The sequence below is a fragment of the Homo sapiens genome, chromosome 2 (genome assembly GCF_000001405.40).
Source record: "Homo sapiens chromosome 2, GRCh38.p14 Primary Assembly".
Taxonomy (NCBI): Eukaryota; Metazoa; Chordata; class Mammalia; order Primates; family Hominidae; genus Homo; species Homo sapiens.
In genome coordinates, this window is record NC_000002.12 from 241,586,473 (window position 1) to 241,599,356 (window position 12,884).

The following is a 12,884-nucleotide window of genomic DNA, read 5'->3' on the forward strand; positions in this document are numbered from 1 at the left end:
CATCTCTACAATTTTTCACACATATTGTCTAGAATCCAAGAAAAAAAGAAAAACTCCTTAGGTTACTAGGAGATAAGATCAAAAGAAAAAACAGGAAATAGACACCTCCCCCACCCTCACCCAGGGGATACCAATACTGGAGTTATTAGAAGACAATATGGAGAATTTCTGCAGGTAATCAGAATTTATCAAAAAGATTAAAATATAAATTCTACAACTGAAAAACATAATAACTCAAATTAAGGCCCCAATAATGAAATAGACAAATTAGACACAGATGAAGAAAGGATTAGTAAAATGGAAAATGATCAGTAGGAAATATCCACATTGAAGCTTAGAGAATAATGGAAAATATGGATGAAAGCATAAGGGACACATTGAAAATTGCAAAAGACTGAACACATGTGTAACCAGAGACCCAGAAGAAGATAGGAAAGACAACAGAACACAAGCAATATTTGAAAAGATCATGGCCAATTTTCTGAGCCTAACAAAATATATCAAGCCACAAATTCTAATTATATCACAGCAAAACTTTGGCTGATAATCAAAGGCAAGAAAATAGAAACTTGAAAGCAGCCAGAGGTGGGTGTGGGTGTCATGGTTAATTTTAGGTGTCAAAGGTCAAAGGTGACCGATTAAGGAACACCTAGAAACCCGGTAAAGGATTATTTTGAGTATGTCTGAGAAGATGTTTCCAGAGGTGACTGACCAGGTGAGGAAGATCTACCCTCCATGAGGGTGGGCACCATCTAATAGGCTGGGGGCCCAGATAAAATAAAAACAAAGATAAGGCGAATATGTCCATCTGTTTGCTGGAGCTGGGATACACTCTTCCTCCCCCGTCCTTGGACACCTCCAGGCCCCCCGACCTTTGGACTCCCAGATGTCACCAGCACCTCCTCTCTCCTCAGGGCTCTGAGACCTTTGGCCCAGGACCAAGAGTGACACCACTGACTTCCCTGGTTCTGAAGCCTTTGGACTTGGACTGAGCCATGACACTGGCATCCCAGGGTTTCCAGCTTGTGGAGGGGACTTTTATAACTATTGAATGCTACATTCGTTAAGTGTACATGAAATATTCATGAAGTTAGGCCATATACTGGGGCGTAAAATAAGTCTCCAACATTTTTTAACAGACTAAAATATTAGAGGGTATGTTGTCTGGGCCTTATAGAATTGAATGAAAAATCCTGAGCAATAGAATCTATTTAAAAAATTCTCAATTATTTGGAAAATAAGTAACATATCTCTAAATAACCCTGTTCAAAGAAAAAAAAAATCACTACAAAATTAGCCGGGTGTGGTGGCACATGCCTTTAATCCCAGCTACTCGGGAGGCTGAGACAGGAGAATCACTTGAACTGGCGAGGTGGGGGTTGCAGTGAGCCAAGATTGCGCCACTGCACTCCAGCCTGGGCAACAAGAGAGAAACTCCATCTCAAAAAAAAAGAAAAAAATCACTAGAGAATAGCCACTCTACTCCAGCCTGGGCAACACAGAATACCTTGTTTTTATTGAAAGAAAAAAGTAAAAAGGAGAGAAAAGAAGGAAGGAAGGAAGGGAGGGAGGGAGGGAGGGAAGGAAAAGAAGAAAAATAAAGAAACAAACTACAGAAATGAATGAATTTAACAAAGTCACATGATACGAGATCAATATACAACAGCTAATTGTACTTCTATATACTTGCAACAAATAAGTGGAAAATTAAAAAATCATTTATAATAGCATCCCAAACCACAAAATATGTAGGAATAAATTTAACAAAATGTGTGCAAAACCAATACGTTGAAAACTACAAGAAAATATAGGATGAGACTGATCTAAATAAATGGAGCACCTTACCATGGCACTGGATTGGAGGACTCAGTTTGCCTAAGATGGCACTTCTTCCCAAATTAATTTAGAAATTCAAGTAGTTCCAATGAAAATGTTTCTAGAAACTGACAAGCTGATTCTGAAATTCATAAGGAAATGCAAAGGGTCCTAGGATAGCCAAAACAATTTTGGAAAAAAGAAAAAGAAGAAAAGTTGGGTAACTTCTATCACCTGATTCAATATAAAGCTACAATGATCAAGACAGCATGGTAACAGTATAAAGACCGAAACAGAGAAGAGTGGGACAGAAGAGAGAGTCCTGGGGAAGAACCACACACACAAAGTGAGTTGATTTTCGACAAAAGCACTGCATACTTTAATAAATTAAGGGTTCTCTTTTCAACAAATGGTGCTGGAAACGAGGTATCTGTATGAGGAAAAATGGAAAAAACGTGACTACTACCTCATACCATCTAGAAATAGCAATTCCAAATAGCATATATCTTAAAACTATAAAACTTCTTGAAGAAAATGCAGGTGAAAATCTTTGCTGCCTGGGCTAGGTGAAAAATTTTAAGACAGGACACAAAAAGCACTGACTAGAGAAAAAAAATGGTAACAGAATTAAAACATTTGGTTCTAGACTGCGCATGGTGGCTCACGCCTGTCATCTCAGCGCTTTGGGAGACCAACGAGGGTGGATCACCTGACGTCAGGTCGAGACCGGCCTGGCCAACATGGTGAAACCCCGTCTTTACTAAAAATACAAAAAATTAGCCGGCCATGGTGGTGGGAGCCTGTAATCCGAGCTACTTGGGAGGCTGAGAGAGGATAATCGCTTGAATCTGGGAGGTAGAGGTTGCAGTGAGCTGAGATCAGGCCATTGCATTCCAGCCTGGGCAACGAGAGCAAACAATGTCTCAAAAAAAAAAAAGAAAAAGAAAAGAAACCCCCCACCCCCACCAAAAAAAACAACATTTGGTTCTTCAAATGGTACTGTCTAGGAAACAGAAAGGCAAGGCACAGGATAGGAATATCGTGTTGGCAAGTACACCTGATAAAGGACTTATACCCAGAACAAACAACAGGCTCTTACAACTCAGGAATAACACAAACACTTAAACAAATGGGCAAAAAATCTGAATGTTCATTTCACAAAACAAGAAATACAAGTGGCAAATAAGTACAACAAAAAGATGAGCAGCATCGTTACTCAGCAGGGAAGTGCAAATTAACATCACAATAAAATACCACCCTGTAGTGGCCAGGATAAAACTCAAAGGCCAACCCTTGGCGAGGCTGTGGGACAACCTTGCTGGGGTGTCAAGGGGGACAGCCACTCTGGAAGAGATTGGTGCTTACCACAGAACCCAGCAGTTCCAATCCCAGGTATGCACCCAAGAGGAAAAAAAACATGTGTCCACACAAAGTTAGGTCTACACATGCTTACAGCTTTATTCCTAATAGCCCGGAACTGGAAACAAATAAAATAAACATCCATCAACAGAAAGGATAAACAAAACTGACAAGCTCACTGGTGGACCACCACACAGCAACAAGCAGACGTGGCACATGCAGCAGAACTGCTGAATCTTGAGAGCGTTTCAGTGAGGAAAGGAGACCGGAAACAAATGAGTTGTGTGCTGTGACTCCACTGATGATAATGATGGGCACTAGGACACTCAGAGCTGCTCGGCTGACGATGATGGGCACTAGGACACTCAGAGCTGCTCGGCTGACGATGACGGGCACTAGGACACGCAGAGCTGCTCGGCTGACGATGATGGGCACTAGGACACGCAGAGCTGCTCGGCTGACGATGATGGGCACTAGGACACTCAGAGCTGCTCGGCTGATGATAATGGGCACTAGGACACTCAGCTGCCCGGCTGATGATAATGGGCACTAGGACACACAGAGCTGCTCGGCTGATGATAATGGGCACTAGGACACTCAGAGCTGCTCGGCTGATGATAATGGGCACTAGGACACTCAGAGCTGCCCGGCTGATGATGAGGGGCACTAGGACACTCAGAGCTGCCCGGCTGATGATGATGGGCACTAGGACACTCAGAACTGCCCGGCTGATGATGAGGGGCACTAGGACACTCAGAGCTGCTCGGCTGATGATAATGGGCACTAGGACACGCAGAGCTGCTCGGCTGATGATAATGGGCACTAGGACACTCAGAGCTGCTCGGCTGATGATAATGGGCACTAGGACACACAGAGCTGCTCGGCTGATGATGGGCACTAGGACACTCAGAACTGCCCGGCTGATGATGAGGGGCACTAGGACACTCAGAGCTGCTCGGCTGATGATGATGGGCACTAGGACACGCAGAGCTGCCCGGCTGACGATGATGGGCACTAGGACACTCAGAGCTGCTCGGCTGATGATGATGGGCACTAGGACACACAGAACTGCTTGGCTGATGATCATGGGCACTAGGACACTCAGAACTGCCCGGCTGATGATGAGGGGCACTAGGACACTCAGAGCTGCTCGGCTGATGATAATGGGCACTAGGACACGCAGAGCTGCCCGGCTGACGATAATGGGCACTAGGACACACAGAACTGCCCGGCTGACGATGATGGGCACTAGGACACACAGAACTGCCCGGCTGACGATGATGGGCACTAGGACACACAGAGCTGCTCGGCTGACGATGATGGGCACTAGGACACTCAGAGCTGCTCGGCTGACAATAATGGGCACTAGGACACACAGAACTGCCCGGCTGACGATGATGGGCACTAGGACACTCAGAGCTGCTCGGCTGATGATGATGGGCACTAGGACAGACAGAACTGCCAGGCTGACGATGATGGGCACTAGGACACTCAGAACTGCCCGGCTGACGATGATGGGCACTAGGACACTCAGAGCTGCTCGGCTGATGATGATGGGCACTAGGACACTCAGAACTGCTCGGCTGATGATCATGGGCACTAGGACACTCAGAGCTGCTCGGTCTACAGTGGCAGAAACCAGGCCGGGGGCTTGAGAGGGCAGCGGGGGTTGCCTGTGGAGCACGGGGACTTTCTAGGGTGCTGGGACTGTTCTCAGTCTTGACTGGCGCAGCGTTACAAGATTATATATGCTTGTCCAAATGTATCAAACTGCACACTTGAAGTGTATGCATTTATTCCATATAAAGTATACCTCAATAGAGGTGATTTTTAAAAAGTAGAAGCCATGATAATGAAGACAGTGTGGTATTGGCACAGGGACTGACAAACAGACCACCTGGAACCAGAGAGAGGGTGAGAAGCAGACCCCTGATGAAGGATACTGAGGGGCTCAGGGGGCAGTTGCATGGGTGAACAGGGGGGCCGGGCTCTTCATGCAGGGTGCAGGGTAGCTGGCCCTCATCTGAGAACAAGGAGAGGGGACAGCACTTCACACTATACACACAACTCAGCCCCAGGTGGATTAATGACCTAAAGGAAAGATTTTAGGTTGAACTGTGAAGCTTCCAGAAAAATTCAGAATACATATTTTGACCTGTTAGTGAGGAAAGACTGCTTAACTAAGACATTAAAAACAGAATCCATAAAGGAAGAGATTGGCAAACTGAACCACATAAAATCCAGAACCTCTGTTCTTCAAAAACAATTTGTAAAACTCAAAAGATAATCACAGACCGAAAAAGCTATTTGCAACACATTTAGCTAACAGAGCTTTATTCAAATCATATAAAGAACTCTGACATGTCAGCCAGAAAAGGCACAGTGGAAATGGTCACCAGACCTGAACAGGCACCTCGCTGGAGGATGACCCAGCAACGACGTGAAAAGATGCTCAAGCTCGCAGGTCACCGGTGGCAGCCCAGGCTGCAAAGCTAGGTCCAGAGCCACCCACATAAGGCAGGAAGCGGGGAGGCTCTGCCAGGCTGGGGGCCTCTCTGAGCCTCACTGTAAAATGGGGCCTGGCCTGGACCTGCCTCGTCTCAGGGCTGCTGCAAGGCACGTGCTACACAGACTGCATGGGGCCCTGAAGTTACAAAGCACAGACACACACAGCACAGGGAATGTGCAGGTCAGCGGGAGCCTGGGGACCCCTCAGGCCCTCCCAAAAAGAGTCACACGAGCCTCTTCCAACACACTCAGTTCTCCCCTGGGGTGTGCCACCACTGCTCAGTCACCGGACATGAGTGACAAGCTGTCCCTGGGGCAAGCTGGCCAGGGACCCTCGGCAGCTCACAGGCTCCACCAGGCTCAGTACACAGCTCATTGAGGCATTGCTACCCTCTGTGGGGCCTGCAGTCTGGGCCATGCCCACCAACACCCACACAAACAGTAAAGACACTCACACGTCCCATCCCAGCCTGATCCCCCAGATGCCACGGAGCAGCTAAAGGAAAGCCTCACTTCCCCAACATAAGCCTCGGTCTCTTCGAGAGGTTCCAGCCCGCTCCTCCAGAGCGAGGGGGAAAAACCGGGTGCTTCTGCATCCACATGCAGACACCGTGTCTGACGCTATGGCCGGCAGCATCAATCCTGACAGCCAAGGAGGGAAATGCCCCAAACAGCAGTCAGCGGGGCCACAGTGCCTAACAAGGGCCACGGGACGTCTGTACGGGGAAAAAGGGAAAATGGGACTGCTACCTCACACTACAGAGAAACAATAATCCCAAATACCATGCATCTTAAAAGGAAAAGCTGGCCAGGCACGGTGGCTCACACCTATAACCACAGCACTTTGGGAAGCTGAGGCGGGTTGATCACTTGAGGCCATGAGTTTGAGACCAGCCTGAGCAACAAAGTGAGTCCCCCATCTCTATTAAAAATACAAAAAATTAGCGGGGAGTGGTGGTAAACGCCTGTAGTCTCAGCTACTTGGGAGGAAGATGTGGGAGAATCGCTTGAGCCCACGAGGTGCAGGCTGCAGTGAGCCGAGATCGCACTGCTGCACTCCAGCCTGGGCGACAGTGCAAGGCTCTGTCTAAAAAAAAGTAATAATAAAATAAAAAGTAAAAAATTAAAAAAAACGGTAAAATGTAGATGAAAATCTTGCTCACCCAGCAAGCCGGCACAGAGCTCTGAGGTGAGGCCTCCCGGGTGAGGACAGCACTGTGTCTCCTGCAACAGCCCCCGACTGGAATGGCAGTGAAGGAATGCTGTCCACAGCATGAATCCGCAGGAGAAAGATGGGAGGCGGCACACAGCCACAGAACGTGAGGGGCTGGAAATGAGACGCACACGGGGACCCGACACAGCCGACCCAGGAAGGCCGAGGCTGAATGCAGCACTGGGGACAGGCGAACAGCCTGCCTTAACACCCCACAAAAGCTCCGTGGCGTGGCCTGAGTGTCTCTACCAGTGGCCGTGGATGAAGGCTGAAAACAGCAGGTTTGCTTGAAAATGTGTTTCAGAGGCAATTCAGTATTATTTCATGTATTTATTTTGAGACAGGGTCTCACTCTGTCACCCAGGCTGGAGTGCAGTGGCACAATCACTGCTCACTGCAACCTCCGGCTCCCAGGCTCAAGCGATTCTCCCACCTCACCCTCTCAAGTAGCTGGAACTACAGGCATGCCTCCCCAAGCCCGGCTACTTTTTGTATTTTTTGTGAAACCAGGTTTTGCTATGTTGTCCAGGCTGGTCTTGAACTCCTGGGCTCAAGTGATCTCCTGCCTCAGCCCCACAAAGTGTTGGGATTACACGTGTGAGCCACCACGCGAGGCACAGTATTCTTCTTAACAGCCAAGATTCAGTAACGAACAACTTGCCCATCAATGAGGAATGGATAAACAAAATACAGCACATCACCAATGGAATAATTCAGTCATGAAAAGGAGTGAGGCCTGAGGCATGCTCCAAGTTGGATACACTCTGGAAACCTTACACTAAGTGACAGTCTATGGCCCCAATTCTATGAAATGCTCAGGACAGGCAATCTACAGAGAAGGAAGATTAGTGGTAGCCAGGGGTTGGGGGAGATGGAAGTTGGGGCTGACAGCTAAAGGGTACCAGGTGTCTTTTTGGGGTATAAAAAATGTTCTGGCCAGGGGTTGTGGCTTATGCCTGTAATTCCAGCACTTTGGGAGGCCAAGGCAGGAGGATTGCTTAAGCCCAGGAGTTCGAGACCAGCCTGGGCAACATGGCAAAAGCTTGTCTCTACAAAAACTACAAATAAAGTAGCCGTGCTCATTAGGTGGCTCATGCCTGTAATCCCAGCATCTTGGGAGGCCCAGGTGGGTATACTGCTTGAGTTCAGGAGTTCAAGACCTGCCTGGGCAATGTGGCAAGACCCCATCTCTACTAAAAATACAAAAAACAAAACAAAACAAAACAACAACAACAACAACAAAAACCGGGCATGCTGGTGCATACCTGTGGCCCCAGCTACTTGGGAGGGCGAGGTGGGAGGATCGCTCAAGCCTGGGAGCCAGAAGTTGCAGCGAGCCAAGATCTTGCTACTGTATTCCAGCCTAGGTGATGGAATGAGACCCTCTCTTAAAGAAAAACCCCAAATCAAAAACAAACAAAAAAATGAGCCAGGTGTGGTGGTGCGCATTCGCAGTCCCAGCTACTGAGGAGGCTGAGGTGGGAGGATCACCTGAGTCCAGGGGGGTTGAGGCTGCAGTGAGTTATGATTGTGCCACAGAAGATAAATGTTCTGAAATTAACTGTAGTGATGGGTACACAGTGCTGTGAACATACTAAAAACCACAGAATTGCACACTGTGAGCGATCTGAATAGTATGTGAAGATCTTTTTTTTTCTTTTCTGATAACAGAGTCTCGCTCGGTCGCCAGGCTGGAGTGCAGTGGCGCCATCTCAGCTCATTGCAACCTCTGCCTCCCAGGTTCAAGCGATTCTCCTGCCTCAGCCTCCTCAGTAGCTGGGATTACAGGTGCCTGTCACCACGCCTGGCTAATTTTTTTGTATTCTTAGTAGAGATGGGGTTTCACCATGTTGTCCAGGCTGGTCTCGAATTCCTGACCTCAGGCGATATGCCCACCTTGGCCTCCTACAGAGCTGGGATTACAGGCGTGAGCCACCGCACTCAGCCCTGCATTATATCTTTAAAGAGCTGTTAAAAATACATGAGACAGCCGGGTGCAGTGGCTCACATCTGTAATCCTGGCACATTGGGAGGCTGAGCTGGGCGGATCACCTAAGGTCAGGAGTTCAAGACCAGCCTGACCACCATGGAGAAACCCCATCTTTAATAAAAATATTAAATTAGCCCAGCATGATGGCACGTGCCTGTAATCCCAGCTACTCGGGAGGCTGAGGCAGGAGAATCGCTTGAACCCAGGAGGCAGAGGTTGCGATGAGCTGAGATGGCGCCACTGCACTCCAGCCTGGGCAACAAGAGCGAAACTCTGTCTCAAAAAAAAAAAAGAAGAAGAAATACATGAGACATGCTGAGTGACAGGTATATGGCAAACAAACATGGACACAAACAAGGCAGCAGCAGTCACTCCCCAGCTTCCACCACCAGCTCCCCGTACCGAGGCAACTGTGCCTCCCTCTACCAGCAGAGGGTGACATGAGAATCTGGGCCTCAGCTGTGCCCAGACACTGGGAGCAAGAACCAGGCAGAGGCTGCTGTAAGACCAGCCCCGGAACGACCCTGGGCACTGAGGTTCTGAAGGGCTTCCCTAGTTGGGACATTTCACTCCTGTCGCTACAATGCGATGCTGGGCAATGGAGCGCGTCCCGTGGGCTGCACGTGGAAAGGATGCTGGAAGCTCACACCTGTTTCCTCCAGACTCTGCCCCGTGCCCTGCCCTGTGCTGACCGTGCTCCATGTCCTTCCGCTGTAATAAGTCAGCTCCTGCCACGTCCTATGAGGCCTCCCAGTGAACCTGGCTGGGGGTGGTCCAAGGGACCCCAGACATCTAAAGGTGGCCTATAAGATCCAATCCAGAACCAAAACAAACAAACAAACAAACATAAAATTAAAAGCAACTTGGGGCGGGGCATAGTGGCTCACGCCTGTAATCCCAGCATTCTGGGAGGCTGAGGAGGGTGGATCACCTGACATCAGGAGTTTGAGAACAGCCTGGCCAACATGGTGAAACCCCGTCTCTACTAAAAATATAAAATTTAGGTAGGCATGGTGGCATAAGCCTGTAATCCCAGCTACTTAGGAGGCTGAGGAAGGAGAACCACTTGAACCTGGGAGGCAGAGGTTGCAGTGAGCCGAGATCATGCCACTGCATGCCAGCCTGGGCGACAAGAGTGAGACTCTGTCTCCAAAAAAAAAAAAAAAAGGCCGGGCGCAGTGGCTCACGCCTGTAATCCCAGCACTTCGGGAGGCAGAGGTGCGCAGATCACGAGGTCAGGAGATGGAGACCATCCTGGCTAACACGGTGAAACCCCAACTCTACTAAAAATATAAGAAATTAGCCTGGCGTGGTGGCGCGCACCTGTAGTCCCAGCTACTCAGGAGGCTGAGGCAGGAGAATGGAGTGAACCCAGGAGACAGAGCTTGCAGTGAGCCGAGACTGCACCACTGCACTCCAGCCTGGGCCACAAAGCGAGACTCCGTCTCAAAAACAACAACAACAACAAAAAGTCCACCTGTCTGGGGCAGGCACCATGAGTGGAGCTGGCGGGACTGGCAGTTGCTCTGGGTGAGTCAGTGAGTGAGTGATGGGTGAATGTGAAGGTCTAGGACATGACTGTACACTACCATAGACTTTATAAATACAGTACAGTTAGGCTGCATTAAATTTATAAACATATTTTTATTTTTAAAAAGTAATTGTGCTACATTAGATGGCTTCTTTCACTCATGAAGTGAGAAATTTTTCAGCTCCATTACAATCTTATGGCCTGACCATCATAAGTGGGGTCTGTCAGTCCGTCACTGAAGGAAACTTCTTTTTTCCCCAAGATGGAATTTCGCTCTTGTCGCCCAGGCTGGAGTGCAGTGGCGCGATCTCGGCTCACTGCAACCTCCGCTGCCTACCAGTTTCAAGCGATTCTCCTGCTTCAGGCTCCCAAGTAGCTGGGATTACAAGCGCCCGCCATCACGCCTGGCTAATTTTTGTATTTTTAGTAAAGACAGGGTTTCACCATGTTGGCCAGACTGATCTCGAACTCCTGACCTCAGGTAATCCACCTGCCTCAGCCTCCCAAAGTGCTGGGATTAGAGGTGTGAGCCACTGCGCCCAGCTGGAAAACTTCTTTATGCAGCACATAAAGCTACAGAACTCTGAACCTAACAAGGAAGACACATTTCCCCCAATACATATTGGAAAGATGATAAACACTGACTTTGTATTTGGCTACAAACAAAGTCCCAGGAAATTCCCCCAACACTGTAATAACAGGGACAGCTCCTTTCACCCCCGCACAAGCCTAGTAGGACTGGCCCTCCAAGACCCAGCTCTTCTTGCCTCCTGCTCTCCTTCTAGCCTCAAGGTCCCTGCCTTCTGTGTGTGCTTCCTGGCTTCCTCAGTCCTGCTGATGTCAACCCAATGGGGAGGCCCAGCCCCTCAGGTTGTGCTTCCAGCTTCTGTCCATTAAGTCGCTCGGTAGAGGTCCCCAAAGCCCCCAGGGTGCAGGGGCTGCATGGCACAGAGCCTTCCCCTAAGCGCCATGCCCAGGCTTCGCAACTCCATCGTCTCTGTCTCCTCCCTCTATTTGCAGAAAAAGAGCCACTTTTTGTTAAATTAATAAAACCCAAATCTAGTTATTTAGCAAAAATAAACATGCAAACAAAAAAAAAAAAACAAAAAACCCTGATAAAATAGATAACCTCTGACAAGTATGATCAAGAAAAAGAGAAAACACACACAAAACATCAGTAAAAGAGAAGTGACATAGAACAGCACATCAAGAGAAAACAGTATCTATTACTTCTTCCAAAAATTCTGAAAATCTCATGAAACGGACACTTTTGCAGGAGAACATGAATTTGCAGATGGAGCCAAGTAAGAACGTGGAGAGACAAGCAGTCACGGAACAAAGTAAAAGCACAGCTTAGGTCTGGTTACCAGATACCTTCCCAGAGAGGCCGACCAACTCCCACGGGGCCACCCTTTGCCAGAGAACATTTGCAAAAGCTAAGAAGCTCCCAGCTAGCCTGTGAATAACTCCAATACCAAAATGGACAATGATGTCTAAAAACAACATATCATGACAACTCAGGGTTATCCCCCAAAAACAACCATGATCCAACACTGATGAGCTATTAATATAATTTATTACAGCAGTCCCCAAACTTTTTGGCCCCAGGAACTGGTTTCATGGAAGACAATTTTTCCACAGCTGTGGGGGTGGGGGTGGTTTTGGGATGAAACTGTTCCATCTTAGATCATTAGGCATTAGATTCTCATTAGAAGCAAAACCTAGATCCCTCATATGCACAATTCACAGCAGGGTTCGTGCTCCTATGAGAATCTAATGCTGCCACCTGATGGACAGGAGGTGGAGCTCAGGAGGTCATGCCCACTCACCTGCTGGCCACTCACCTCCTGCAGTGAGGACTGCATTAACAGCTTCAAGAGGAAGACAAGGGGGAAAAACAGATTCATCCCCAACAGGTTATAAAAGCATTTGATGAAATTCAAAATTCATTTCTGAATACAATTCTTGGCATACTAGAAACTGAATCTTCTTAACCTGAAAAAGACTGCCTTTACCAAGATACGCACCTGCACTGGAAAAAAAAAAAAGTAGAAAAATTTTACAACTAAAAAAAAGGCTATCCGGCTGGGCGCAGTGGCTCATGCCCAATCCCAACACTTTAGGAAGCTGAGCCGGGTGGGTCACTTGAGATCAGGAATTCAAGACCAGCCTGGCCAACATGGTGAAACCCCATCTGTACTAAAAATACAAAAATTAGCTGGGTGTGGTGGTGCATGCCTGTAACCCCAGCTACTTGGGAGGCTGAGGCATGAGAATCGCTTGAACTCAGGAGGCGGAGGTTGCAGTGAGCTGAGATCGTGCCACTGCATTCCAGCCTGGGCAACAGATTGAGACTCTGTCTCAAAAAAAAAAAAAAGCTACCTTCTTATCTACCAGTAAGTAATCTACAGTGAGCATCTTACAGGTGGTGACACACAGAACTATTTCCACTAGAGTCAGGGACAAGC

General features: G+C 48.1%; 1 protein-coding gene across 5 annotated transcripts in view, besides 2 other annotated features; it reads right to left on the reverse strand.

The window, feature by feature from the left end:
• The window catches only part of THAP4 (THAP domain containing 4), a 53,172-nt gene that overhangs the window by 2,068 nt on the left and 38,220 nt on the right, over positions 1 to 12,884 (reverse strand). The gene's annotated exons all lie outside the window — the stretch shown is intronic.
• Positions 3,127 to 4,023: an enhancer, noted in NCBI's record as "H3K27ac-H3K4me1 hESC enhancer chr2:242529014-242529910 (GRCh37/hg19 assembly coordinates)". NCBI's record gives its function as "activates a minimal SCP1, AML or CMV promoter by ChIP-STARR-seq in naive and primed H9 embryonic stem cells {active_cell/tissue: H9 hESC(naive and primed)}" and the evidence as "EXISTENCE:reporter gene assay evidence [ECO:0000049][PMID:30033119]".
• Positions 4,024 to 4,918: an enhancer, noted in NCBI's record as "H3K27ac-H3K4me1 hESC enhancer chr2:242529911-242530805 (GRCh37/hg19 assembly coordinates)". NCBI's record gives its function as "activates a minimal SCP1, AML or CMV promoter by ChIP-STARR-seq in naive H9 embryonic stem cells {active_cell/tissue: H9 hESC(naive)}" and the evidence as "EXISTENCE:reporter gene assay evidence [ECO:0000049][PMID:30033119]".